A 26,476-nucleotide genomic window follows, 5' to 3' on the forward strand; every position below is an offset into this window, starting at 1 on the left:
AGGAAACTGAGTACCAGAGAGGTTATCATGGTTTGCCCAGTGCTGGCCTGCCAATAAGTGGCAAAGCCAGACCAGAATCCTGTTATTCTAAGAACAACCCTTGTGCTTTTTCTTTTCCATGACACCAGAGCTGACTCCCTAGAAAGGCCCATCCCAAATAGTTTCCAATAATAAGTGAAGATCACTACTAGGACTTCTCCCACAGACACCAAGTGTTTCCCAGCCCTCCACACCTATGCTCCCAGGGAAGCATTGGCCTCCTTTTTACAGAATTCATCTCTACAGCATTGCTACCAAGCCCCTCCAGGAGTGTTTAGATCTTCCAAGTATCTGATTTGTAAACCTGGATTTGTTGTTTGTGCACAGAGAGCTACACTGCCTCTTTTCCCAGTGAGAGTCGCCCTGTCCAAAAGCCTTCCTTTTTCTCTACTGTTAGAGACAAGGGTCACCTGTCAGTAGTCAATGTATGGAAAGCTGAAATGCTGAGACATTGAGCCAGAAGATGGATGACAGAAAGACTAATAATAGATGACATGTCAAGGTGCACTTAACTTTTTTTTTTTTTTATGTTCAAGTAGAGGACTGTGAGGAGAAGGAATTGAACAGGTGGCAGGAAATGGGGTGAAATGAAAAACTAGGAGAAAGTAAAACAAATACATAAATTCGAGGAGTAGGAAAAAGAGAAAATAAAGTAGTGAAAGACATAGGTTGGGGAGGAGATATCCTAGTTTCAAATCAGGCTCTGACATTTATTAGCTGTATGATCTTAGGCAAGTTGCTCAGTGTCTCTAAGTGGACATAAAATTGCACTAACTTTATGGGGTTTGTGTGAGGATTATAGGGAGAGCATGTAATATCCTTGCCACAGTGCCTGGCACAAGATAAGCACTCGATAACTGTCAGCTGTTACTATGACGTGGAAGCCCTTCCTCATTTCTGCTGCCTCTGCTTCCCCCAGCTATCCCCAGGCAGGTTCATTTTGGCCAGCTTGGTTCACCATTCCAGCCACTGAGCCAAAATCCCAACTGAGGCAGGAAATATTGCGTTGGCTTCAGCAGACCCAGGAGCTGGGGAACTTGTGACAACAGCTGGACTCTGCATTGGTTCCTGGGGCTTCTTGCTGCCAATTTGATCTGCGATCAGGCACCTCCAAGAGCGACCCTTGGAGATCCATGCTGCCTCTAGGTTGTTTCCTCCTCCCTTCCTTTCCTTCCTCTTTCCCTACCACCCCCACCATATTGACTTCTACTAAATTCTGCCTACTCACTCTTCTTTGTATTCCAGTTCTCCTCCAGGACCAAAGTCCTGTCCTCTATCCTCGTTTTGGTACAGATTTCCTGACTGCTGAGCAGCCTACTTGCTTGACTTCTTTCATCAATACCATGCCGCTTCCCAGGGTTTACATAACTAGGTTTGTTAATTGCACACTCTGAACATTGTACTTCACTCAGCCAGCTCCCTTTTCCTTGTAGAGCAGTGGTTAAGATAATCCTTTGGGATCTCACACTTCTTTAGGACTCAGTTGAAGCCATAATGCCTGCTCCCAAAATACACGTGAATTCAATGCACGTGGATAGGCTAAGTTATGCTCCAGTGGCCACCACTATCAAATTCTCACTCGCTGGAACTGTCCGATGTGGATTGATGGGAGGGATGTGTTCTTCTTAGTCACTCAGTAATCCAGGCTGGTGGAGCTTCCCTCTTGAACATGTGCTTCCATGGCATGAAAAAGAGGTATAGGATCTGACTTAACGTTTTTAAAAGATCCCCCTGACTTCTGTGTAGAGAATGGACTGTGAGGCAGCAAGGGTGGAAGCAGGGAGGCCTGGAAGGAGGCCTGGTTCAGAGGACAGCTGACGGTGACTTGAGCCACACAGATGGCAGTGGAGGGGGAAGAAGTAGATGGATTAGGATCTGTTTTGGAGTAGAGCAGACAAGATTTTCTGCTGGATTGGAGATGGGGAGTAAGGAGAATAAAAGAGTCCAGGATGACCTCCAGGTTTTTGGCTTGAACATCTGGTTAGATGGCGTCCATTCTTAACTAGCATCAAAACCACAGAATCCTTGACTTTGTCAAGACATACCTGAGTGATAACTGAAAGGAGCCTCAGCTTGGACTTCTTTTAGGGTGCCCTTCCAGCTGTTTTGTAACAATATAACTGGCAGGACCGTTTTTTTGTTTTTCAGGCAAGCTGTTCAGTAAAGGACACTCATGCACACCCACATGTTCACAAACACACACTCACACACATCACATGTCACACACTGCTGTGGCAGCCCTTTCTGGACCTCACACAGCACCATTCCCGGGAGTCCTTCAGGGTCTCTTACATGGTCCTGTCACTATTTTTGTTTCTTATACAAATCTTTTGCTAATGATTCTCAGTTTAAAAACAACAACCATGGCTGTACCCTCAAGGAGCCTCATCCTAGGAAGCAGCCCTCTTCTGTTTTGTCCCTGGGAGGGGGTCAGCAGCAATGAGTGACCTAGGTGGTCTGAAGGGCCTTTTATCCTATCAGAGTGGTTTCCAGCCTAGGGAAATGTGAAAACCATAGTAGTAGCACACTTATTAAACCAAATGTGCTGCTGCACCATCCCAAGTGGCAATCTGTGGCTGTTAAGTGCAATTGCTAACTAAATGTGTAGCCTGTTGCCTAGGCAGCTCATTTGAAGGAGAGGGGGTTGTGGAAAACGAAATAAAATGAAAGAGTCTTGGCCACTGACCTGGTTGGTTCCAGGCGGAGTCGGTTCTGAGGTACACTCTGTAGCTTTAGTGTTTCTAGGGCCTCAGGGTGGGAGTTCACATTAGTGGTGTAAACAGGTACTAATGGGTTCCATTCAGATGCTGGTTGCCAAACTTTCTCTCAGAAAAGGCCAGCTGGGCAGCCCTTCAGGCTGTGTGCTTGAGAGGGGAAGTGGAACAAAAGGAGGGCCCTGAGGCAGGGAGGGGTGAGCCTTAGTACAGCCAGGACTGGGAAGCTGCCTGTTGGCTAGGAAAAGCCTAGGGGATTTGTGAGAGGCCAGAGGCTTTTCATAAATAGGAATTAGGGTTCTGTGGAGGGGAGTGAATCTCACTCCTGCCTGGAAAAAGGAAAAATGTGTGAGGTGCCTATCTTCCTTCCCACCACCATTATCTGTGTCCCTCCTGGAAAGTCTGAAAGCCAGGTGTTGCCTATGAGTGTTTTGCGGAGGTAAAGGCACACACAGGTAAAGTTACATAAAGCTTCTGTGAGATAGGCATCATAAGCCTATTTGACAGAGGGAAGATGGAGCTGCAGAGAGAGGGAGTGATTTGCCCGAGGCCACACAGCTACCAAGTGGCTGTGTTAGGCTTTGAGTCAACCTCTTGACACTTGATTAGGGGATACTGCTTCCTAGGCATGGTGAGAGGCAGGCTGTGCTCCCGAAGCCTAGAGATGGGAGCAGGAGGCTGGTTCCCCTGCTCTCTCCTGCTCTGGGGCCCACCACCTGTCAGTCAGCCTGGGGGCCTACGTGACCTTCAGGGTTCTTTCCAGCCCTTGGAGCCAAAAGCTCTCTGAATCTCTAGGCATGTTTCCCATCCAGAAATTTAGGCAGTGGGTCAGTGGATGGCCTCTGAGGGGCCTGCCAGCTCTGATGTTCTGAAGACCTGGAAAGAGCAAAGAGCCCAATAGTTTTTAATGTGTGATCCATTGAGCCCTAGGGAATCCCACAGAGGTGTTTCAGGGGCTGCCATGAGCAGTTCTGATTCTGTCTTTTATATATTAGAGATCTACAGATGATTTTTGTTTGCAAGGGAGTGCCACTTCTAAATACAAACAAAGAGAAACAAAACAGAAACTTTAAAGCCCCTGAACTAGATAGTGAATGAGAGACAAGTTTGAACGAAGGTGTCTGCTGTGGTGAGAGTGATGATGGTGGTGTGTGTGTGTAGTGGGGGGAGTTTGAACTGGAAGGAAAAAGAGGAAAATGAAAACAAGAGGAAAGAATGAGGTTACAGTTTGGGTCAGTGGTATGGGTCAGTTGCCATTTTGAAAAGAGGAGAAAGTAGAAAAGGGAAAGGGAAGCAACAGCTACTGAGTGCCTACTTGTGTGCCAGTTTCTCTGCTTGCATCCTCACTCATAGGATGCAGACAGCAACCCCTTGAGTTCTAAGTATTATTGTTCCTATTTTAAAGATGAAGAAATTCAGACCCAGAGAGTGAAAATAACTTTTATAAGATCACATAGCAAGTAAATTGTGTTGCTAGGATTCAAACCGAGCTCTTTTTGACCTCAAACTCTACACCCTGTCCTGTTAGGAGCTCTCTCCTAGAAGACAGTTGAGGAGTTACAGGTGGATGGGCATCAAGAACACATAGTACCTTTCTTCGGCAGCAGCAGAGGTCTGGGAGTGCTTGTGGAGAACAAAAAGGTGGAGCTCATGTTCTCAGTAATTTGGGAATTTGAGAGAGGGGGCTGTAGCCAGGGTGGAGGGAGAACCAGGGGAGACTTAGGAAGAGAAATCAGTAGTTCCACAAGGCTGGAGAGTCAAAGCGTCACCAGGAAGGGCCTAGGTTTGGACCTGGACCAAAGGACCTAGAACCTCTTAGGACTTGTGTCCTTGAATGGACAGGTTTGGACTCTTGGACTATACTGTGCATTTCAGAATTGCTGTTTGCATCCAGATAATCATCACGTTTGTAGCCAAGTGTTTTTTGCCTCATTTGTTAATGTAATAATATTAATATAACAAACATTCATGAACCCACCACCCAAATCATGATCTAGAACATTGCTAAAAACTTACCCTTACTAATATGCTTAATATTTTTTGGTAGTCATTTTGATAAATGATTGTCTGTCTTCTCAGTATGGTGGTTGTGGTTTCCTATCTCTAATAATGCCAAACTCCAAAGGAAAGATGTAGCTTGTGTTATTGGTCAGGATGAACAACTTTGTGCCGTGCTAAAAGACATCCCCAGAATCCTAGTGGGTCATGACAACAAAGGTTTATTCTTTGCCTTTGCTTTATGTCTATGATGAGTTAGCTGAGGGCTGTGCTCCTTGTCTCTTTACCTTACAGCTCCGGTGATCAGAGAACCTACCGTTGTGAACATTGCTAGTCATTATGGGAAAGGGAAAGAGAGCCCTGTCAGGCAGCATAATGGCATAGAAATATTCCAGCTTGGAAGTCACATATATTTACTTCTGTGCCGTTGGCCAGAACTCATCATATGGTTCCACCCAACTGTAATGGGCCAAGAAGTGAAATCTCACCACGTCCCTACAAGGCACAGTGCTGGGAATATTTGGGAAACAGTGCTAATGACTATCATAGCCCACTTGCCCACTGTGGTACAACATATGAACATGACTTGCTCCTAGCTGATGAAGTTGTGGAGAAGGAAGGGATTGCATGAGCAGGGTTGAGGAAGCCCACCTGAGTTTTGTCCATCCCTGTGTCCCTTTAGGTGATACCGTTAAGGCAGCCTGCCCCATTATGCACCGATTTTCCAGCCAGAGCCCCCTTCCCCTTGGAAGTTCGCCATTCTGCTCTACCTGTTTCTGTCTGTCTGTATTTCACAGGCTTCAAGGACACAGGGCATTTGACCATAGAGTCTGACTAGCAGCTCACTTGAGATCTCCTTGGCGTCTTCTTCTCCCATGCATGATTGCTCAGATATCCAAGGAGCTGCTGCTACCTCATCCAGAATGGCACTTGACTTGACAGTGGTGGGATTGGATTTTGTGCAGAGTGGTGAAGGGAGGCGAGTAGGGTTGGGTGAGTCATCATTGTTATTTCCGTTGCATTCCCATCGATCTCACAAAGCTATTAAAAGAGTCAGTAACTAAGACATAGCTCGACTCTGGTTCTAAAAGTCAAGTGATAATTGAAATTCACATTGCAAATCCTGCCCAGGAAATGGAGTGAAGAGAATGCACTGGCTCTTGGCCCCACTGCTGGGAAGGAAGGTATGAGCTGATAGCTCAGGAAACATATCCTTAGCTTGAGAGCACAGGACCTGTTCCAGGCAGCTGGCCCCAGGATGATTCCTCTGACCACTGAGTGTATGGCTTGGAGAAGGCAAGTGAACAGAGAGGGCTTTGATATGGTTTATACCGTAAGGTGCGGAGATGAGCAAAACAGACAATGTCCCTGGTCTCACAGAAATTAGAGTCTAGTGGGGGAAGAAAATGATTAAACAAATATTATAGGGCATGGCAAGTGCTCTGACAAGGCTGAGTACAGGGTAATAAGGCAATGGCAGCTAAGCTGGACTTGGGGAGCCAAGGCCAGCCTCCTAGAGGAATAGTCCTTCATCTAAACAGAGGACTGAAGGATAATTAGGTGGTAGCCAGGTGAAGGCAGGTGGGAAGGAAGGAAGTTGCAGAAAGTTAGGAGGTAGAGGGGAGTGGGAGAATCGGAGCCTAGAGAGGCAGGCAGGGACTAGATCATGAAGGACCATGTAAGCCATGTTAAGGGGCTTGGACATTATCCTGAGGGGAGCAGGGGACCATGGAATAGTTGGCCATTCAGATCACACTTGCTTTTCAGAAACATCACTGTGGAAGCAGTATAGAAGGTGGGTTAGGAAGTTGTGACATTGGAGGCTGGGAGTGCAGGTGACCTGCTTAAGATATTTGTGATGGAGATGGGAAGGAATGGATGAATCTCAGGCACATTTAGAAGAAAGAATAGACAGATGTGGACAGTGAAGGAAAGTCAGGCATCAGGGATGATGCCTAGGTTTCTGGCCTAGACAACTGGAGAGCAGTGATGGGAGAATAGGTTGGTGGTTAAGCGTAGTGGCTCTGAAGCCAACCTGTCTGGATTTTGAATTCCAGATCTGCCACTGATTGGCTGTGTGACCTTGGACAAGTTCCTTAACCTCTCTGTGTCTCAGTTTCCTTACCTAAAACGAGAATATTAACACTACCTTCCTTTTAATGATTAAGTGAAATAATATATATAAAATGCTTTGAACTGTATCTGGAGCATAGAAAATGTTCGATAAATGTTAGCTATTATAGGCAACAAGGAAGAGGAACAGGCTTCATAGGAATGATGATGAGTTCAGTTCTGAGCATGTCAAATTTAGGTTGTCTGTGGGACACTCAAGTGCAAATTGGTTATATGGATCTGAGGCTCAGGAGATATTTGGCTAGAAATATAAATTTGAGAGTTATCAGTTTATAGATGGTAATTGAGACCTTGGAAGACTGTGCAGGGAGAATTTGTAGAGTGGGAAGAAAAGAAGGCCTAGGAGCAAGACCTGAGAACCCTCAACATTTGTGGACAGAGGTAAAAGAGCCTAACGAGGAAGCTGAGCAGCAACCAGAGAGGAGGGAGAAAAATCAGGAGAGAACACAGCATCATAGAAGCCAAGCTACAAGAAAGTTTCAAGATAGAGGCAGTGGCCAATGGTTGCAGTGCTTTGGAGAGGTCAGTATAAAAGAAGATCTGATAAACAACAATGGGAGTTAGCTACGAGAAATTGTTGGTGAGACTAGTTTCGTGGAGTGGTAGAACTGTATGTCAGACTACATTGGGTTGAAGAGTGGGAGTGAGGAAATGGAGACAGCAAGTGTAAACAACTCTTTCCAGAAGTTTGTCTGTGAAAAGGAAGGGTGAGCAGATGATTGCAGGTTATGGGAGAAGAGAGGGCATGCTTCAGTGCTGATGGAGAAGAGGCTGACAGTAGAGAGGGAAAGATGGGAGACACAGGTGAGGGAGGGGACAATTGAGGCTTGAAGTCCCTGAGATGGTGGGAGGAGATGGAACTCGCAGAGTGCAGGCCAGGTTGGAAGTGTTAATCTTGGTTGGGAGGAGTCATAAGAGGGAAGGCAGAAAGTATGGATGTGGTGAGTGAATGTGCAGATTTGGTTGTGGGAAGTTGCTGCCTGGTGGCTTTCTCTCTGTGAAATTGGGTGAGGGGGATGTGGCAAGGCTGGGGGTTTGTAGATGATAGAAGTGCTCAGAGAGCCACTGGATAAAATGGAAGAGAGAGCCCAATGGAGACGGAAAATAAAAAGGGTTGCCTAGTTGTACCAGAGGCCCAGTAGGTTCATAGCGGTTCCCAGCTGCATGGTTGGAGTATTTTCACCAAGGAGTGCTTAGCAATCCTGGAGTAGGAGCAGAAAGGGTAGACATTTGGATTGATTTAAACATCACTTGTGGATTTGCAAGATGGATGAAGGATGGGCAATGGAGTAAGAAAGGTGCGGATGTCGGTAAGGGAGTAGTTAAAATGATTGACTCATAATTCTCCTACTCTCTGATTCAGAAGCTTCTGTTTCTGCTGCTGCTTACAACTTCTCTCTATTCCCCACTCCATAGCTTCTGCTCATTCAAGGCTCTTATGCTCATGGCTTCTGCCTCTTGTGTATGTGTGTGTGTCTGTGTGTCTGCTTTTGCCTTCATTACTGACTGAAGACCCTCTCCCTGTCTCACATTCAGAATCCACAGGAAAGACTATCTGAGTGATTCTATGGGTCATTGTATTCATGTTTGACTGATAGGTCAGGTCACCCCTTAGGCTGCTGGCCAACCTATGGGTTTTCTGCCCTGAGTCAGGGATCTATGTCTGGTCCAGTCAGCGTCAACATCTTTCAGAAGGTTTTGTGAGTAAAACAAGCAGAATGGTTAAGGGGCTCTGGAACCTGATGCCTAGGCTTGAATCCAGGCTGTCCCACTTATTGTGTAACCTTGGGAGATTTACTTCACCTCTCTGATCCCCAGTTTCCTCATTTCTAAAATGGGTTCAGTAAGTGTACCTGCCTCATTAAGGTATTTGTGAAAATGAAATAAGACAGTACTAAAAAGCACTTAGCACAGTACCTGGCACATATTTATTTCCCTGTAAACATTACTTATTATTACAATCATTGCTATTATGATTATTTTACTATGAAAGCAGGCACTGGGGGCCTAATAGAATTTAGAAAAGACATTAGGGGAGATGGGATCTGAACTCCATCACCATTGAATAAACACAGTCTTCTTTCCTTCACACCAGCTCTTTACCATTTTCTGGTCTTCTGACCTTTCCTCAGGGAATGTTTGTCACCTTGTGGGCTCTAAAGGCCCAAAGCCTTTGGAGTACTGAGTCTGCCATGAGCTGGGGATCGAGCTGCTGGGTCTGCTCATTGTCAGCTTGGGAGGAATCCTGGCAGCGAGGCCTCTGTTGCTCAGTCCTCGGTTTCTATGAGTCATGCTCCTCTTATGCTAAGTCCAGCTCAGATTTGGAAGGGGGCTAGAGGAGTGGGGGTGGATGAGGGAAGGAAAGGGAAGAGGAAGGCAGCAGTTTAGCCTCTTTCTGAGTTTCTTGGTTAGCTCCAGTTATGGGAATCTTTCCTTAGAGCTCTAGTGAGAGGATTTGAGGCCCCACTGTGACCAGACTGCAATGTGAGGGGATCCTTCACCTGCATGGTGCAGCCTAAGATGCCTGATGTGTGACCAACCCCTCCCCAGGCACCCTGATAGTCAGGGCATCTTCTCTCCATCTCTCTTTTCCTTACAGCTTGATACAGATGGGTAAAGATTCTTTTTCCCCTGAAGATAATGTAACTTGCTGATGTAGGGGAAGGGAATGTATTAAGAGGCCCATTGCTCAGATATCAGGCTCCTTGAAATGACCTGGTCCCTGATGACTTGTGTCTGAGCTGATGTTTTCCTAAGGGTGGTGTTTAGGTCACTAGTGAAACATGAAATAATTTCAGGTAGTACCTGGCTGAACATTTTTTAACTTTGATAGTTATGCATTTATTTTCATGTATTTTAGAAGAAAATATAACTAACATACAAAACTGGTGGTTTCAAGGGTATTATTGTTTAAAGCCATGTAAAGTTTTAGAAAAGGAAGTTTATTTAAAGAAAAATACTAAGTGAATAGTAGTGTAGGTGTTAGACATGTAGCAAAAGTCATGAAGGTAGTACACAGATGACTGAGGTTTGGGAAAGAGTGGTCTTAACCAAATGACGTTCCCTTTTCTGCTGCCTCTTTTGCCCCCCACCCCCAGACTCAGGATGTCTGCGTTGGGAATTGTCTAATAGACATAGTAATCTGTGTGGTCAACTGTCATCTGAACAGGTCAAAGTCAAAAGCCCCATCTCCCTTTCTTGACTTCCTAGTCTTTGTCGAGGGCTCTAATGCTCTCTCTCTCTCTCTCTCTCTCTCTGTGTGTGTGTGTGTGTGTGTGTGTGTGTGTGTGTCTTTCCCAGCCTGGTGATTGGTAATATCCCTGGGATCCCTCCCTCTTCCATTTTCACACTGAATCTTGAACAAGTCCTGTTAATTCTTCCTTCAGAGTCTCTCTCTCCCTCTCCCTCTCTTTTTTTTAGAGAGAGGATCTCACTATGTTGCCCAGGCTGGATTCAAACTTCTGGCCTCAAGTGATCCTCTTGCCTCAACCTCTCGAGTAGCTGGGACTACAGGCGCACGCCACCATGCCCATCTCAGAATATCTCTTGCACTGTGCTCCTTCCAACTGTCATCACCCGTTTGAATACCACAGCCTCAGTCTATACTTCACCATCCAATTCATCTTCCTTAAGCACAACTTTCACCATGAATTTCTCCTGGATTGGTTTTCCACTGAGTATCAGATCATGGCCAGACTCCTGAATGAGCAATTTTCAGTCCTTGGACTATGGCTTCAGCCTAACAGTATCTGCACATATCGCCTGTTTCCCTTCTAGGACCCATCTAGGTCTTTACTATTCCACAGATGTACTCTGCTTACCTCTAGCTCTAGCTCTGTTCTATATACCTTGACTAAAATAGTTTCTTCAGTCCTTTCCATTTGGTTACTTACTTATTTTCCGTATATTGCTTTTTGTGTTTCATTTGTGTCTCTTTAAGTAGACTCAGCTTGCTGAGGTATAGGAGTGTACTTTTCATTTCTTTTGTAACCTCTTTGGCATTTAGCAACATGCAAGGCATATGGGAGGTATAACTGGGTATACTTTGGCCTGAAAGTAACAGAAAACCCAACTTAGAGTGGCTTAAACAAATAGAGGTTTATTTTTTGCATAACAAAAAGTTTAGAGTTAGGTGGTTGCCTGCTCTGCCATCCGTAGTGAATTGGCTTTCATCCTACGCTTGTTGCCTCATGGTCACAGGTGGCTGTTGCATCTTAAGGTATCACAACTGCATTCAAGCAGGAAGAAGGAGCAAAGGTTTTCTGCTCAGGGGGCTTTGTCCTGTTATTTGGGAAGGGAGACTTCCCCAGGAGACTGCCCCTTACATTTCATTATCCAGAACCCTCTCTCCACACTCTTGAGTATAGCCTGCTAGAGAAAAGACCCAAGTTCAAGTTACAAGAGTGTGGACTGAGAGACTTGGCCAATGCCTGCCCACCTCACTCTGCTTCTGTCACATGCTCCCTCTTAGACCAGTGACTGATTTAGACCAATCATAATTCAAGCCTGGGACTGCAGTTGAGTTTTCCCTCTCTGATATGAAAGAATCTTTGCCAGCTACAAATTGGAGTTCTGTTAGCAAGGAAGAAGGTGCAGAGGATGGCTGTGAGGTAGGCAACCAGCAATGTCTACCAAAGAGCTCAATAAAGACCAGTTTAGAGAGTAAGTGGCCTGCTCCGGTCCTGAGTCAGGTTCTAAGATTTGGTAGGTCTAAGGCCAGGAGGTTTCCAGAAAGAGCCATCTTCTCTGTGCCCAAACAACTGCACCTGAATTTCCCTGACTGTCCATTGGAAGGTCAAGCTGGTCATATGGGCTTTCTCGGCTGTTTCCCTCAGCCAAAAGGAAGAGCCTGTGTAGAGCATGGTGCTGTCCCATTTAGTTACTGCTAGGTGAGTAGCTTCTGCCTGTGGCTCTACTTCAAGGACTGAGGGGAGAATGAATGGATAGGCTTGCTTCTTCATGGAAAAATCATCCCTGCCCTTGGAGCTTTGGTTTTCATATGTTTTCTGGAGTAGTTCTGGAATTGAATTTGCACCCAAAGAAAAAAATCTAGAAGAGGAAATTTCCAAAATCACATTGTGCAAAGTGTTATTTATTATAGCAAGAAATAGAAACAACCCAAACAGCCAATAATAGGGATTTGGCTAAGCAGACTGTGAGTTTTAGTATATTAGGCTACAATACAGCCACCAAATGTGACTACTTCAGGAACTCTGATGGTACAAAAATATATATGGAATAATGTTAAGTGGAAAAGGCAGAAAAAAATAGTAGGTACATACTGGCTGTGTAAAATGTACATGTGTGCTTTGAAAAAGATCAGAAGACAGTTGTCCAGTTTGAAATCAAAGAGGAATTAGGCAACCAAGATGTATTTTTTGAAATTGAATGCCAACTCTGAGGCAGTTGGGGGGGTCATCCGTTGGGGAGTCCAGTTCAGCTGAAGTTTAAAAAGTGGGAGTTAGGGCATCCAATACTATTCCTTCTTTCACCATGAAGACGGAAAGGTTAAGATAGAGCTTGAACTTGAACTTGGGTCTTTTCTCTAGCAGGCTACGTTCCAAATGTGGAAAGAGAGACTTGGCCTCTGTGGGCCCACCTCACTCTGCCTCACTGCTGAGAAGTCCCCTTTCTTCTGTCTCGCAGCTGACGAAGCATTCTGTTGGAAGACTACACTTCCATTCCAGAACAGTGTGCGTTACTGTGTGGAGACCCAGTGTGAGTTCCTTCCTGAGGTTTCTTGGCACTGGCTGTGCTCCTGCGTCCCCCCACCCCGCAACCCCTGCCGTTCATCATCCAAGGTTTACACTGTAAATATCTGAATGGGGTGAAAAGAAAAACCAGACCTCCGACTTGGGGCTGGTCTGCTGGAGGCTGAGCCAAGGGTGTGTTGTTGATATAGAAGATAGTTCTCTCCTAAGAGTTTACTGAAGGAGATTATTTTTGCTGGTTCAGGTTTTCCAACTTTATTCAAGAGCCTGAAGACAGGAGGGAAGCAGGATGGGTGTGTATATGGGCTAGCAGGGAAGAGAGACTTGTTTTTCTCTTTTTTCCTGACCAGTTGCTGCCCAGCAATAGCTGCCATTTATTGAGCGCTTACTGTGTGCTGTGTGCTTTACACATGCCATCTTGTTTAACCCTCACAAGAGCTTTGCCAAGTATTACCCCCACACACACTTTACCTTTGGGGAAACAGGCTCAGAGGGGACTTAGCCAGAGTAACTTACCCAGGGAATAATGAAATCAGGATTTGCTCAACAAAAATGTATTGAGCCACCTACTCCAAGACAAGCCTCAGGCTGACATACCGGCTGTGCGGCTGTGAATAAGATCGGCTCATTGTCTTCAGCAACTTGTACCCATAAGGGTGGGTGTGACAGATAAGCAGGCAGTGATAGGACAGGGTAGTGCCTGTTCTGATGGGGAAGAGCCTAGTGCCATGGGAGGACAGAGAAGGGGGAACCCATCACAGACAGGAGCAGGAGGCAGGGAGTCAGCAAAGGCTTTCCAGAGAAAGTGATGAGCTGTATGGATCTGGAGAAAGAGTACAAGTCAGCCCAGTGAAGGAGATGGCCAATAAGCAATTCAGGCAGAGGGCATAGCCTGCCTGTTGATTAAGTATTCAAGAATTTTGCAAGCTGGTTATCAGACCATTGGTCACTTCAAATTGGGTCATGATGGAAGTGTTTATAGCAAGGAAGGGAGTTGGGAGTTCTCAGCTATAGATGTGAATGGGATTACCGTGGCAGGCTATACAGAGTGCCAGGCCGAGGACCAAGCCTTGGTAAATGCTAAGAGGCAGGCAGAGAAAGATGAGCTCACACAGGAGACTGACAGGGAGCGGTCGTCTGGCTCCACTTTCACAACCATCTCATCATTTCCAACTCTGTTACCACTGCCTTTCTTGAAGCCCATATCATCTTATATCTGGACTATCTAGTCAGATAGTCTTTACAACTTATCTCCTGGTTTCTCAAGTCTTTTTAAAAGTTCCTTATAGCTTTTCTGCTAACTGGGTAACTGGGTAAGTAAAATAATCTGGTTGGAGCAGACAGCTTATATAGAAGAGTATGGATTTTAGCATGTTCACTCCTACCACTTGCTGGCTATGTGAACTTGGGCAAGTTTCCTGGTTTTTCTGAACCTCAATTTCTTCATCTGTAAAATGGGACTAGTACTTCCTTCTGCTGCCAGGGCTCTGAGAATCCATGGAGACTACACATGTGATAAAGGGCCCAGCACAGGGCCTGGTTCACCATTGGCCAGTGGAGAGGTCGCCAAAGATTTTCCCATATGGTAGCTGGTATCCACAGGAAGGCTCATTGAGGACTCTGCAAACCTCCATCCTCAGCTGCGCACCCTCTACCTGGGCACTCCAGCTTCTCTCACTTCCCTTGTCTGCTGCTCCTGCCCCTCTCCTCCCTTCCATTCTGGCAAAATTGAACAATGGCCCCTTCCTCTACCCTCCCTGCCTCATGCTCAACCTGTTCACACTCCAGGAGCCTGAAGAATTCCTGTTCCTCACCAGCCCATCAGGGCTTCCCTCTCCTCACTCCAGCTGATCCTTGACTCTTGGCTCCTCCTAGAAACGTCCTTGGGCCATGGGCCTCCGTTCCTAACCTCGTCCTGCAGATGTACTAACTTTAGTTCCCGGAACCGGATTGAAAGGACTAGAATGAACCGCATCAAATGTTAAGGAACACAATTCAAGAACGCTGCAGCACTTTTCATGTGCTATACAACAGATTGTGCTGAGGCTGGGGGGCATAGATGCTTGTTGGCAGCAGGGTTGTTTTCCAAATCACTCCCTGATGCTTTGAAGAGGAAAAGGAAGTAAGTTAGGAGACTAGTATTCATTGAATGCCTCCTGGGTGTCTGGCCTTATGCTAGGGTGCTTCATAAATTGTGTCATTCATTGTCACAACAACCTTGTGAGATGATGATGTTATTCAAGTTGTCTGTAGTGTCCCTGCTTCCCTGTGAGCTCTGTGAGGATATGGAACACACTGTCTTCGACACTGCATCTGGCAACCTGGATGGAGTTGGAGACCATTATTCTAAGTGAAGTAACTCAGGAATGGAAAGCCAAACGTCGTATATTCTCACTCATAAGTGGAAGCTAAGCTATGAGGATGCAAAGGCATAGAATGACACAATGGACTTTGGGGATTCGGAGGAAAGGGTGGGAGGTGGGTGAGGGATAAAAGACTACATACTGGATGCAGTGTACACTGCTCTGGTGATGGGTGCACCAAAATCTCAGAAATCACCACAAAAGAACTTATTCATATAACCAAACACCACCTGTTCCCCAAAAACCTATGGAAATAAAAAAAGAAAGAAAATGGCCATTAAATAAAATAAAAAGCAAAAGAGATCCAAGAGAGAAAAATAAAAATAAAATAAAATAAAATAACAGGTGTCAACACACCTAAAAAGAAGAAGAACATGGAGTCTGTGCTCAATAAATACCGGTTGAATTGAATTGCTGACACTGTTGTGTTGAGGCAGTTTGGCCCAGGCAGGCAAATAAGCCCAGGATTTGCAGTCTTGGCCTGTGTGGCTTTGGGCAAGCTATTTCATTTTTCTGAGCCTCAGTTTCTTCATGTGTAAAATGGGAATAATGACACCTATATCCCAGGGGTTGTGAGCATGTGCAAGTGGTTTGGTAAACTCCAAGTGCTGCCCAAATTAGTGTGTGGGGTGCATCACATGCGCTCTAAGCTAGGCTTTTAGTTATCCAATTATCATCTAGGTCTGCAGTTCCCAAATGCAAATCAGCACTCATCCTTCGTAAAGTTTTTACTCTTCTGAATTAAAAAATGATGATGTAGGCCAGGCACGGTGGCTCACGCCTGTAATCCCAGCACTTTGGGAGGCCGAGGTGGGTGGATCACGAGGTCAGAAGTTCGAGACCAGCCTGACCAATATGGTGAAACCCCGTCTGTACTAAAACTACAAAAATTAGTCGGGCATGGAGGCACGCACCTGTAGTCCCAGCTACTCGGGAGGCTGAGGCAGAAGAATCGCTTGAACCTGGGAGGTGGAGGTTGCAGTGAGCCGAGATCATGCCACTGCACTCCAGCCTGGGCGACACAGCAAGACTCTGTCAAAAAAAAAAAAAATGTAGTTTTGTTTTTTTTTTTTTGAGACAAGTTCTCTGTCACACAGGCTGAAGTGCAGTGGCATGATCATGGCCACTAATTTTTGTACTTTTTTTTTGTAGAGATGGGGTTTCGCCATGTTGCCCAGGCTGGTCTCAAATTCCTGAGCTCAAGTAGTCCTCCCACCTCGGCCTCTCAAAGTGCTGGGATTACAAGCATGAGCCACCGTGCCCGGCCGATGTAGTTTTTATGAAGCCAAATTTGTTCAGTTTTTTAAATTCTAAAATTGTCATTCCAATTGTTTGATGTTAAAACATCATTTTGTTGTTTATGACATCTTGGTTTTAGTATATGGCAGTTTTTAAAATTAAAAAATGCTCTTACTTGATCAAATAAAATGTTGGCACAGCTATGCCAGATCCCCCAACAAGAAAAGTAGCATAGAGGGGCTGATAGAGAGGAACCTGGGCTGGGCGTGGGTGAGAAGGCATTTGAGGTGGGCTTCCTGAAGGCAAGGGGGCCTGAGGAGAGTTAAGAAGGGTGAATAGGAGAACATTCAGCAACAAAGGGTGGGAAAGACACAAGCTGGAGAGCTGGGCCAGGATGAGTCCAGACAACCTCTAGAAATCTGTGAAGTCTGGGCCGCCACCCAGCAGGTGAGCACCTCTGAGCTTCCCTGTGGAGTGTTAGGGTCGGGGAGTGAGCCGATTTGTCCCAGACCCGCCTGGCTCACACACGGGGATGAAAAAGTCCAGGTCACTGCATTGGACAGCCACTGAGCTCCCCCACCACAGCCCAAAGGGGTGCCTTGCGGTCCGTCCAGGCAATTGCTGCCACACTCTGCATCAAACCCCCAACTCCCCGTCTGACTTTGCCTATCCTCCACCTCCTCTCCTACTCTGGCAGCTTCAGTAAAGCAGGAATCACTCAGCTCTGTGTGTGGGAAAGCACAGAGCCCACAGCGCAAACATACAGGCTCATCGGAAACTCGAAATCCCCCCTCTGCCTTCCACATACCAAGCCACACACAAGGAGTGGCAGTGGGGTAGAGGCTGGTTCCTTTCTCCAGAATGCCACAGGGCTGGCCTGAGGTTGTGGTGGGGGAAGCACTTCCCCCTGGCCAGCTGTATGACCTCTGGATTCCCCAGACCACACGGTTGGCAGCAGGAGGCCCCTGGCGGCTGGGAGCGCCAGACCCATCCGCTGGGGCAGAGAGTATGACCACCTGAGCATGCGCTTTCGCATTCCAAGTGGTGGGTCTGGATTATCCATTTCTTGGTTTTCTCCAGACCTCTGCTCCATCCATCAGAGTATTTTTTTTTCCACCTGGAATCCTTTGGCCAGTGGGTGCAGCCATAAGTTTGTCCAGCCAGGGGCATACGCCAGGTGCCTGCCGAGCTGTCCATCTGGCCCAGGCAAGAGGCAAAGGATAACTTCCAGAAAAAGAGAAAGCCCATGAGGGCAGGGCAGAAGGCAAGGCTAAGGAGTGGAAGTAACAGTCCCAATGCCCAGCCCAAAGACCTAAGCCTGGCCAACAATACTCGGCAGGCATCCCTCGCTCCCTGTTTAGGGCAGGTTGCCATGGTATTTTGCCTGCTGGTGCACTGGGACTGGAAAAAAAGCAGAGTGAGCCTGAGGGTGGAGGATTGGGAGGATGGTTAATAATGGGAGGAGAGCTGGACTTTTTGCCCCAGTTCTAGCTGGAGTTTGCTTCAGCAGCAGAGTATTGTGGCTGTTTCAGGGAGAAGCCCTTGTGCCTTTATGACCCCAGGGATTCCTGCTGCTATAAGTGCCCAAGAATGGCATATGCCTTACAAGCTGCCCAAGGGCCGGGCATCTATGCCATGGCTCTGCTCCCACTTGTGACATGGTGGGTCTTTCTTATGGCTTGTAAACTCTCCCCATCCCTGTGGCTGGACTTAGACAGCTCTGTTTATCATTCTCACACTGAACCAACTAGCCATTTCTGTGGGTGGGTGTCAGTCACACCCTACTGATTTCTGGTATATCCTGACATTGAGTAGCAGCCTGTAGCTGTGATGGGGAGAAAGGTTAATGCTCATTTTGACAGAAGCATTAGAGTTAAGTCCAAACTCCCGGGCTTGGCATTCAAAGACTTCAACAATTAATCTTCTATAATGCTCAACATTCCAATGCCACATATTTGGACCCCAAAATACAAAATACACACACACACACACACACACACACACACACACAAATACCTGGCATCATGTTGAAAAAAAATAGTGGATAGAACCTTTTCAGTTTTCATTTGTGTGTTTGCCATCTCACAGTTACAGGTATGGTGTCAAATTTTATTTGCAAATTGACAATCTCCAACTCTGTGTGTCTAAATATATTTGGATTATCAGTACTTGATATAGTGATTGGTGTCTCTGTGTTTATGTGTCCAAGTCTTACCTGCACTGACAGGCCAGGCAAACTAATTTGTTCTCCCTAAGATTTTAGACATAAAGCTAACATAAAGCTTTGCTATAAGAAATAGGTTGAGGAGAATCAGCCAAGTCCCTGCTTTCAATTCTTCTGGATATATATCCAGAGGTAGAATTGCTGGATTATATGGTAATCCTGTGTTTAATTTTTTCAGGAACTGCCATACTGTTTTCCCTACTGGCTGCACCATTTTGCATTCCCATCAACAATGCATAAGGGCCCAATTTCTCTGCATCCTAACCAACATTTGTTATTTCTTGTGTTTCTGGTAATGTCCAGCCTATTGGGTGCAAGGTGGTATCTTGTGGTTTTGCTTTGCATTTCCCTAATGACTAGTGATGTTGAGCCTCTTTTCATGTGGCAGGCATGTAAGTTTTTGACCTGTTGATGAAACTGCGCATTTAGTCTTGTTTTCCAAACACTCTTGGACACTGGATATGGCCATTGTTTTATAGGTTAGAATGACCTTTACTTAAAGAATGCTTTGTTGTGCAGTTACCTCTGGACTCTCCACATGCTTTGAAGGCTGCAACCTTACAGCCAGTCAGCCCTGTGGCTTCTCTATACTCTCTGCCCCTCACTGTAGACTTGGCTTTCCATAAGCCCTAAGATTTCTTCGATTCTCTGTTTTCTGTTGTATTTAACCCTTATAGTCCCACCCTGCTGTGATAGCCAGCCAGCCATCCTGAAGAGGAAAAGATTCAGGGAATGGAGAAGAGGGGAAAAGGAAGGAGGTGACAGATTTCTCTGAACCCATTATCTGGTCAAAAGAGTAAGTGAATCTGGTCCTCCTTCTATGCAAAAACAAAACCAAAAACACCCTATTTTGTCTGTCTATCAAGCAGTTCTATGCCTTCTTAGAAACTTGCCTATTCTCCAATATGGGTTGAAGTATAGAAAATGTAGCTATGAGAGGGCAAGTGTCAAAATGCCTGGATTTGTCACTAAAAATGCTATCTAGGGATTTCCTTTACTGATTGATCTCTTAGTGAGTGTAAAGAGCCAGTGAACCTCATGGAAAACAAAAGTAAGAACAAAAAGGAAGCCCCTCCAAGTTCTTAGCATTACAGTAGGAGTGTTTACAGTTGGAGAAGGGATGCTGTCTTAGTCAGCTTGGGCAGCTATAACAAAATGCCATAGACTAGGTAATTTATAATGAATAGAAACTTATTTTTCACAGATCTGGAGGCTGGAAAGTCCAAGATAAGGCGCCAGCAAATTTGGTGTCTGATGAGTACCTGTTCCTCATAGATAGCACCTTCTACGTGTCCTCATGTGGGAGAAGGGGTAAACAGGCTCCCTTCCCTCAAGCTTCTTCTATAAGGGTACTAATCCCATTCATGAGAGCTGAGCCCTCATGACCTAATCATCTCCTAAAGGCCTCACCTCTTAATACTATCACATTGGGTATTGGGTTCCAACATACGAATTTTGGGGGGCTACCAATGTTCAGAGCATAGCAGACACGTGTCTTCAGTTTCACCTTCCTGTTGGGGTCCTCTCCCTGATCCCCACTGTCCACACTATACCAGGTGGCCTGGGTTAACCCACCTGGGGACCAGATCCACATTCTTCTCCTTTGGACTCCTGAGATATCTTGCATTCTCATCAGGAAATTTGTCAAATACTACAGGACAGCAAGGAGGAAATCATTGCAAAAATTACAATGAACAGCATATTAAATAGGCAGGTTTCCTGAGTGTAAGTTTTGGGTCCAACAGTGAATGCAGTCTGAACCACCAAGAGCCAGGGCATCGTGGCTGGTCCCTTGCCTGACGTCCTTCTGGCCCAGCTCCCAGCCTGTCTCTGGGGAGTGGGTGCCATCTAACTCTCCACTGTCTAGGAGAAGTTTCCAGGATAAGACCAGAAGAGACCATATTCCAAATTAGCTGTTCATTTGGGCCCTCTGGCTCTAAACCTGGATCCCTGTTTGGGAAGTAGCTGTGCCTCCCTGTATACATCCTCAAGGCAAATGGTCTTGTTTTCTAGAGCTGGCTTCCCAAGGTAGACCTGTGTCCCCCAGAGAGTGGGAGTCCATCTCGTGCTTTTGGATGGGACACGAATTAGTATTATGTTTTTAATAGCAATGTGTTTACTTTCGTAGTTTCCTTCTATTTAAGTCATGTGGTAGTGGTTTTCCATTTACATCAATGAGTCACAGATTTTTTAAGTAAAAGAGTAAGAAATTGAAAAAAAATTAACTAAATAATAGTTAAGGGGGTATGTGGATGTGACAAAAATTGTGAAGGTAGCCCCCAAGTGACTGAAGATTGGGACATACTTCCTTAGAGTGACTTGCCTCTCTAAAAATAACCTTTTAAGAGACAGTTGCCAGGAGGACTGTGTGAAAGAATTACCAACTTTGGGTTCCAGGGATCTTTCCCTTTCTGGATCTCTGATGCTCTCTGGTGAGAGCAAGGAAAGCCTAGAATATAATTTTCTCTCCCCTTTGAATAGTTCTACTAATAGGCTCCTCTGTGAGCACAGATAAAGGGGCCATTGACCATATTTTATTTCTTCATTAGCTTCCTGTAATGCTTTCCTTGCTGAAATTCAAGGCAGAAATGGTGTGCCTAAACCTCAGATTACTCTTCTTCAGAAGAATCTCTTCAGCTCAATAGTTTACCTTCTATCCCCAGCCTGCACCTTCGAGAAAGAGGATTTTTCAAATCTTTTCTCGTTTTGCTCCTCACTCTCCCAGCACATATTTTCCAGAAGCATTACATGGGAAGCATTCATAAACATTTTTTGCACTGAAGAAATCTGCACTAAGCTTGACTTCTGCTTATAAAACTACTCCTTGCTCCATTATGTTACAGGCATTCCCTGGGGGGCTGTCCCTGGCATGCTAGGAAGGGACTGAGGCATCTGGCGTTTATCTAGTCCCTGAGCCAGGCACTACATGAGCCAGGAGCTACACTAGGCCTTCTATTTGTTTGAATTCTGGCTGAATTCTCAAACCAGCCCAGTAGGTGTCATTTGACATCTGAGGAAACTGAGCTCAGAGAAGCTCAGTAACTTGCCCACCATCACACAGCAAGGAAGGGGCAGAAGCCAGGAGGACTTGCCCCCGGTTTCCTGACTCTCATGCACTGTGCACTGCCTCTGTGGGGGCTTGCTCTTTTCTGCCTGGCGTGTGCTGCTGCGCTGCTGTTTGGACAACTAGCAAAAGGTCTCAACACAGGGGCTTTCTCTTTTGCCTGCAACAACAATGAGCTCAAGGGGAAAACAGATTGATTAAAGCTGATTTTGCCCTAGTGAGAAACTGGCCAGAGCATCTCTGGAGGGCCTCGGGCTGGGCCCAGTTGGCTGTCAGGATGTGGCCTGGAGCCTCACTTCCCTTCCTGGCTCTCCCTTTATCTTCTACACTCTCCCATTGCCTTCTGCGCCCTGACCCTGCTGCCCTTCCATGGGAGCTGAAAAGCAAGCTGCTCAGAAGGAAATGGCTTTTGTTATTTAACCTGAATAAGTGTCACCATGTGCCTTCTCTGGAAATCTACTCATGGCTGAAGAGGGGGACCAGGGTTACCCTAGTGTCCTTTGTTTTGTTAGGGGCCTAAAGCAGAAGCAAAGGCAACCCTCATGTATACCACTGCTTTTGTCCCCACTTCCTTTCCAAACACTGATCTTAACCCTATTCCCCTAAAACATAGCTGATAAATGATAAATATTCAGGCCCTTGCCTGGCATTGCAAGCTACAAACAAGCTGGTCTCAAGCAGCCTTTCCAGTCTTGTGACCCACCACTTCCTTATACAATCCTCACTTTCCTGGTGGCCAGAATACCCACCATGCCCTAAACGCTCCTGGCTTTCTGGCCTCCTTGTTCCTCCCACCTCTGCCTATTAAGCAACTTCGTGAAGTAGGAACGAGCTCACATCCGAAGCGCCGGAGAGAGTGGCATGCCTACCAGCCTCATCTTCTATGTGCTTCAGTTTCCTTCTCTCTCGAATGTGCCTGATGGTGTAGCCCACTTACCTTGTCAAATGGTTGTGATGAGATTGAATGCTATGAAAAACCCTTAGTAAAATGTGAAACACCATCCAAATGCTGTTTTGTATTGGTAAAGGAAAATGACCCATCCTTTAGGGCTCAGCTCAATGGCACCTCCCCCGTGAAGTCTCCCCTGATTCCCTGGAGAGAGTGATCACTCTCTCTTTGTGCAGTGCTGTAGCACTTGGTGGTTCTTGGTGGTATGCATCACTTTTTGCCCAGCACGAGAGTTATTTGTGTCCAAGTTTGCCTATTCTGTCTTCAAGGCCGGGAGTTTATGTGGAGGGCAGAGAAGTGCTTAGGCATCTTTGTTTCCCACTAGGCCTAGCCCACACGTCTCAAAAAGCACTTATTGAACTGGGGAGGCAAAAAACAAAGTCAATTCTTTGACCTGGAAGCTCATCTGAGTCCATGTATGTCTCCTCTGGGAGCTGTGAGAGGAGGGAAAATGACAGAGGATGGGGTGGGGAGGGTAGGATGGCTGTAGAGGGAAGTGATGGGAAGCTTTCGAATGACTTAAATTGACTTTTTTTTTTTTTTAGTTTTCATTCAATTCTGACCACATGTTTCCCATGAATCCTTAGGGAGAAGGAAGTCAGAAAGTTAGTCCTTCGCCTCTCCCTGGCTCGCCCTGGAGTACCACATGGATGAGCCAAAGAGCAGGACAGCCTGAGGAACTTGCCTCGTGGGCCTCACGCTCTGTAGCAACTCAGAGGCAGAGAGAAGCTCCTGGGAGGCCCCATATGTGACAGCTTCTAAGGAAGCTGCTTGTGGTGCATCCATGAAACAGGGTGGAACAACTGCTGATTTTGAACAACAAAGCTACTTGGAGGCCACATTAGACTCAGACCCTGCTCAACATTTGGGTTCTCCCCACCCCGCTCTTCTTTTACATTATTGAGGTAAAATTGGCATTCACTAAATGGCACATATTTGAAGTATACAGGTTGATGAGTTTGATCATATGTATGCACCTGTGAAACCATTACTACAATCAAGATAATGAATATTTCCATCACCCCTAAAAGTTTCCCCTTATTGATCACCTTTAATCTTTCTTCATAGCCTAAGTAAGGGAAGAACATGGTTTTATTGTTGATGGGTTATTCTTATGTTAGAAAACTATCAGGAGCAGTGGCCTTGGGGACCTGAGTCCAACTTAACCCTCTGTGAGCCTCAGTTTGTCCATCAATAAAATGGGATAGTTGGACAAAAAAATTGCTAAGGTTTCCTGTCAGTCTGAGTGACAGGACCTTTCTATGATACAACCTTTCTAAACAGCAATTTTTAAAAAACATAAAAGAAGTGTAATCTACTTTGCTTTCTCATGCCCCCAAGTTACATTCTGGCAGGGTCATGGCTGATGGTCAGAGTGATGTCGGGTTCTGAGGGTTCTGGGTGGATTATTAACTACATTTTACAGATGAGAAAACAGGCTAAGAAAGAAGAGAAGATCGGCTCAAAGTTACACAGCCAACACGTAACTGAGCTGGGATGCAAATCCAGCAGTGACTCCTAATCTAATGTTCTTTGCACTGCCCCACACTCCATTCCCAAGAATACAGGCCTAGTTCCATGTTGCTGTCATGACTAAGGGTCCTTGCATCCAACAGATAGTTCTACTTTCCTCCTGGTTTAATCTGGGGACCATAGTTCACCTCCTCAGATCTCTGGTAGGTAAGGAGGCAAGAGAGGAGGCTCCCCTGCCCTCCTAAATCAGACCAAATCAGGCCACAGAACAGGAGTCTTAAGTTTTCTTAGACTGGAGGTTTCCAGAAAGCAGACGCTCTCTGGGCATGTAATTCATTGTATTCAGCCTCCTAGTACCAGGTACGGACAAATGTTCAGTAAACCCCATGGCGGGAACACAAGGTCAGCAGGACAGGATAGAAATCTTGGGATTAGGAGGGACCTCTACCTGGCACTTTGCCTCATGTTTGCCCTGGGGTACAATCCCCCAAGGGGACCTGTTATGGGCTGGGGTTGGGGCAGTGCTGGGCTGAGCTGAGTTGCACACAGTCATTATGGTGTGAGCACGTGCCCCAACAGTGCAGTGGCACGATCTCGGCTCACTGCGAGCTCCGCCTCCCGGGTTCACGCCATTCTCCTGCCTCAGCCTCCTGAGTAGCTGGGACTACAGGTGCCCACCACCGTGCTCAGCTAATTTTTTGTATTTTTAGTAGAGATGGGGTTTCACCGTGTTAGCCAGGATGGTCTCGATCTCCTGACCTCGTGATCCGCCTGACTTGGCCTCCCAAAGTGCTGGGATTACAGGTGTGAGCCACAACAGCTGCATCTTTTATAACTCCCTGGAGGAAGGGAGGGGGGCCAGTTACTTTCCCTGCCCTTTTTTTCAGACCCCCAGTCGGCCTACTGTGCCTCAGCGTAAGGTAGGAAAGAGTGCCTCCATGGGGAATTTGTGGTGGTAGCAGGGTTCTGAGCAGACCCAGGGTGTTTACTCCCTGAGTACTCAGGAAGTACCCAGAGTAGGTGCTCAGTAAATATCTGCTGACTGACTGAATGAACTCTAACTCCATGTCAAGCACTGTAGGGGGTACAACGATGAATTGGCCTCCATCCCTGACTGTAGCAGAGAAAGAGGGATAAGACAAGCACATAAATAACTGTTACACACGACAGAATGTGATAAATGCCTTGGGAGATGAACAGCCAATTGCTCAAAGAGCTTGGAGGAGGGACGCTCACATCTGGCAATGGTGGGGGGAAGGGACTCTAGAGAAAACTTCCTGCTTGAGGTGACATTCGAGCTGGTTTTGAATAGGGACGGGGTTTCTACAGTGGCTCAGGAATGTTTGTGTGGTGGGGGTGGGGAGTCAAGGCAGGCTGCATTCCAGGCCCCAGCAGCAGACTTAGGGCCAGAAGTCTCCCTTAGTATATCCTCAGAGAGCACAGAGAACTGCAAATCAGTGATAGTCCTAGAGCCTCACTATAACTGCGTGTTTTCAACCTCCATCCCACCATGCCTTGATTTGAGACCCCCTACAAGTGGCCAAATGGACTTAGCTGGGCTGCTTGCTGGCTCATGGGCTAGCTAGCCCAAACCAGAAGTGAGAGCCAGTCCTGGTGGCCTTGCAGACATTTCCTCATGAAAGCCTTTCTTCCCAGCTCAGCTCTTATCTGGGAACAATAAAGGTCCTCAACTCTGGGAGAAGGCCATGCAGGGAACAATAGTTTCTGGCTCACTTCATCCATCATTCATGTGGCTCAGATAGACCATTGCTGAGCAGCAGTGGGGACGAGTTGGGGGAGGGGGAGGGCACATTATTTTGCATGAGATTGTTCATTGGGCTGCCCCAAAACTACACAGTGGGGAATTGGGTAGCGACATTCCTGGGTGTGCTATACATAGGCATGAGCCTGGGCATATAATCCAGCCCTTTCTCTTCTCTCTGCCTCTTTGTTTCCTAATTTCTGTCCAGAGGCAGTTGGTTGCTGTTAACTGGTAAACTGAATGGTTTCACTGGACATGGGACAAGATATTGGATTCATTTCAGCAGATATTTTCAAATATATTATCTCATTGAATCTTCAAAACAATTTTATAAGTTGGAATTATTATTTTCACTTTACAGATGAGGAAACTGAGGGCCAGAGAAGTTAAGCAACTGCCAAGGATGCAGATAGGAAGGTGAAATTGGATATCAGGACTCCTAACTGCAAGTGACCTCAGCTGTACAGTCTGAAGGCTGGCAGTTACAAATTAGTTGCAAACGATCCAGGGACTGAACAAAGGAGAAAAAAGGGGAAATGCGAGAGTTAGGCAGCTACCAGTTAGGCAACCTATTCTCCTTGTGCCACCATGAAGAATAAGTTGATCAAGGGTGGAAAAGAAAACTCAGGGCTTCAATTCCAGTATGGAGGGGTCTAGAAGTCTCCAGAGGATAGGAAAGAGGATGGAGATGGAGCCCCCACTCATCTGGCTCTTGCCTGCCCAGGGTGCTACAGCGATGCAGCCACAGCCTGTCGGCTCTGTTCACCTCTTTAAGGTTGATGTCAGCCAAAGGCAGCCCCCAGAGAG

The 26,476-nt window shown here is 46.3% G+C and overlaps 1 protein-coding gene across 8 annotated transcripts in view, besides 4 other annotated features; it reads left to right on the forward strand.

Annotated features, from left to right (window-relative positions):
- Positions 1-26,476, forward strand: part of NHSL2 (NHS like 2) — a 242,442-nt gene that overhangs the window by 21,988 nt on the left and 193,978 nt on the right. The gene's annotated exons all lie outside the window — the stretch shown is intronic.
- Positions 2,551-3,250: an enhancer, noted in NCBI's record as "OCT4-NANOG-H3K27ac hESC enhancer chrX:71155233-71155932 (GRCh37/hg19 assembly coordinates)". NCBI's record gives its function as "activates a minimal SCP1, AML or CMV promoter by ChIP-STARR-seq in naive H9 embryonic stem cells {active_cell/tissue: H9 hESC(naive)}" and the evidence as "EXISTENCE:reporter gene assay evidence [ECO:0000049][PMID:30033119]".
- Positions 23,972-24,534: an enhancer, noted in NCBI's record as "NANOG-H3K27ac-H3K4me1 hESC enhancer chrX:71176654-71177216 (GRCh37/hg19 assembly coordinates)". NCBI's record gives its function as "activates a minimal SCP1, AML or CMV promoter by ChIP-STARR-seq in naive H9 embryonic stem cells {active_cell/tissue: H9 hESC(naive)}" and the evidence as "EXISTENCE:reporter gene assay evidence [ECO:0000049][PMID:30033119]".
- Positions 24,535-25,096: an enhancer, noted in NCBI's record as "OCT4-NANOG-H3K27ac-H3K4me1 hESC enhancer chrX:71177217-71177778 (GRCh37/hg19 assembly coordinates)". NCBI's record gives its function as "activates a minimal SCP1, AML or CMV promoter by ChIP-STARR-seq in naive H9 embryonic stem cells {active_cell/tissue: H9 hESC(naive)}" and the evidence as "EXISTENCE:reporter gene assay evidence [ECO:0000049][PMID:30033119]".
- Positions 25,097-25,658: an enhancer, noted in NCBI's record as "OCT4-NANOG-H3K27ac-H3K4me1 hESC enhancer chrX:71177779-71178340 (GRCh37/hg19 assembly coordinates)". NCBI's record gives its function as "activates a minimal SCP1, AML or CMV promoter by ChIP-STARR-seq in naive and primed H9 embryonic stem cells {active_cell/tissue: H9 hESC(naive and primed)}" and the evidence as "EXISTENCE:reporter gene assay evidence [ECO:0000049][PMID:30033119]".

Source organism: Homo sapiens, chromosome X (assembly GCF_000001405.40).
Source record: "Homo sapiens chromosome X, GRCh38.p14 Primary Assembly".
Lineage (NCBI taxonomy): Eukaryota > Metazoa > Chordata > Mammalia > Primates > Hominidae > Homo > Homo sapiens.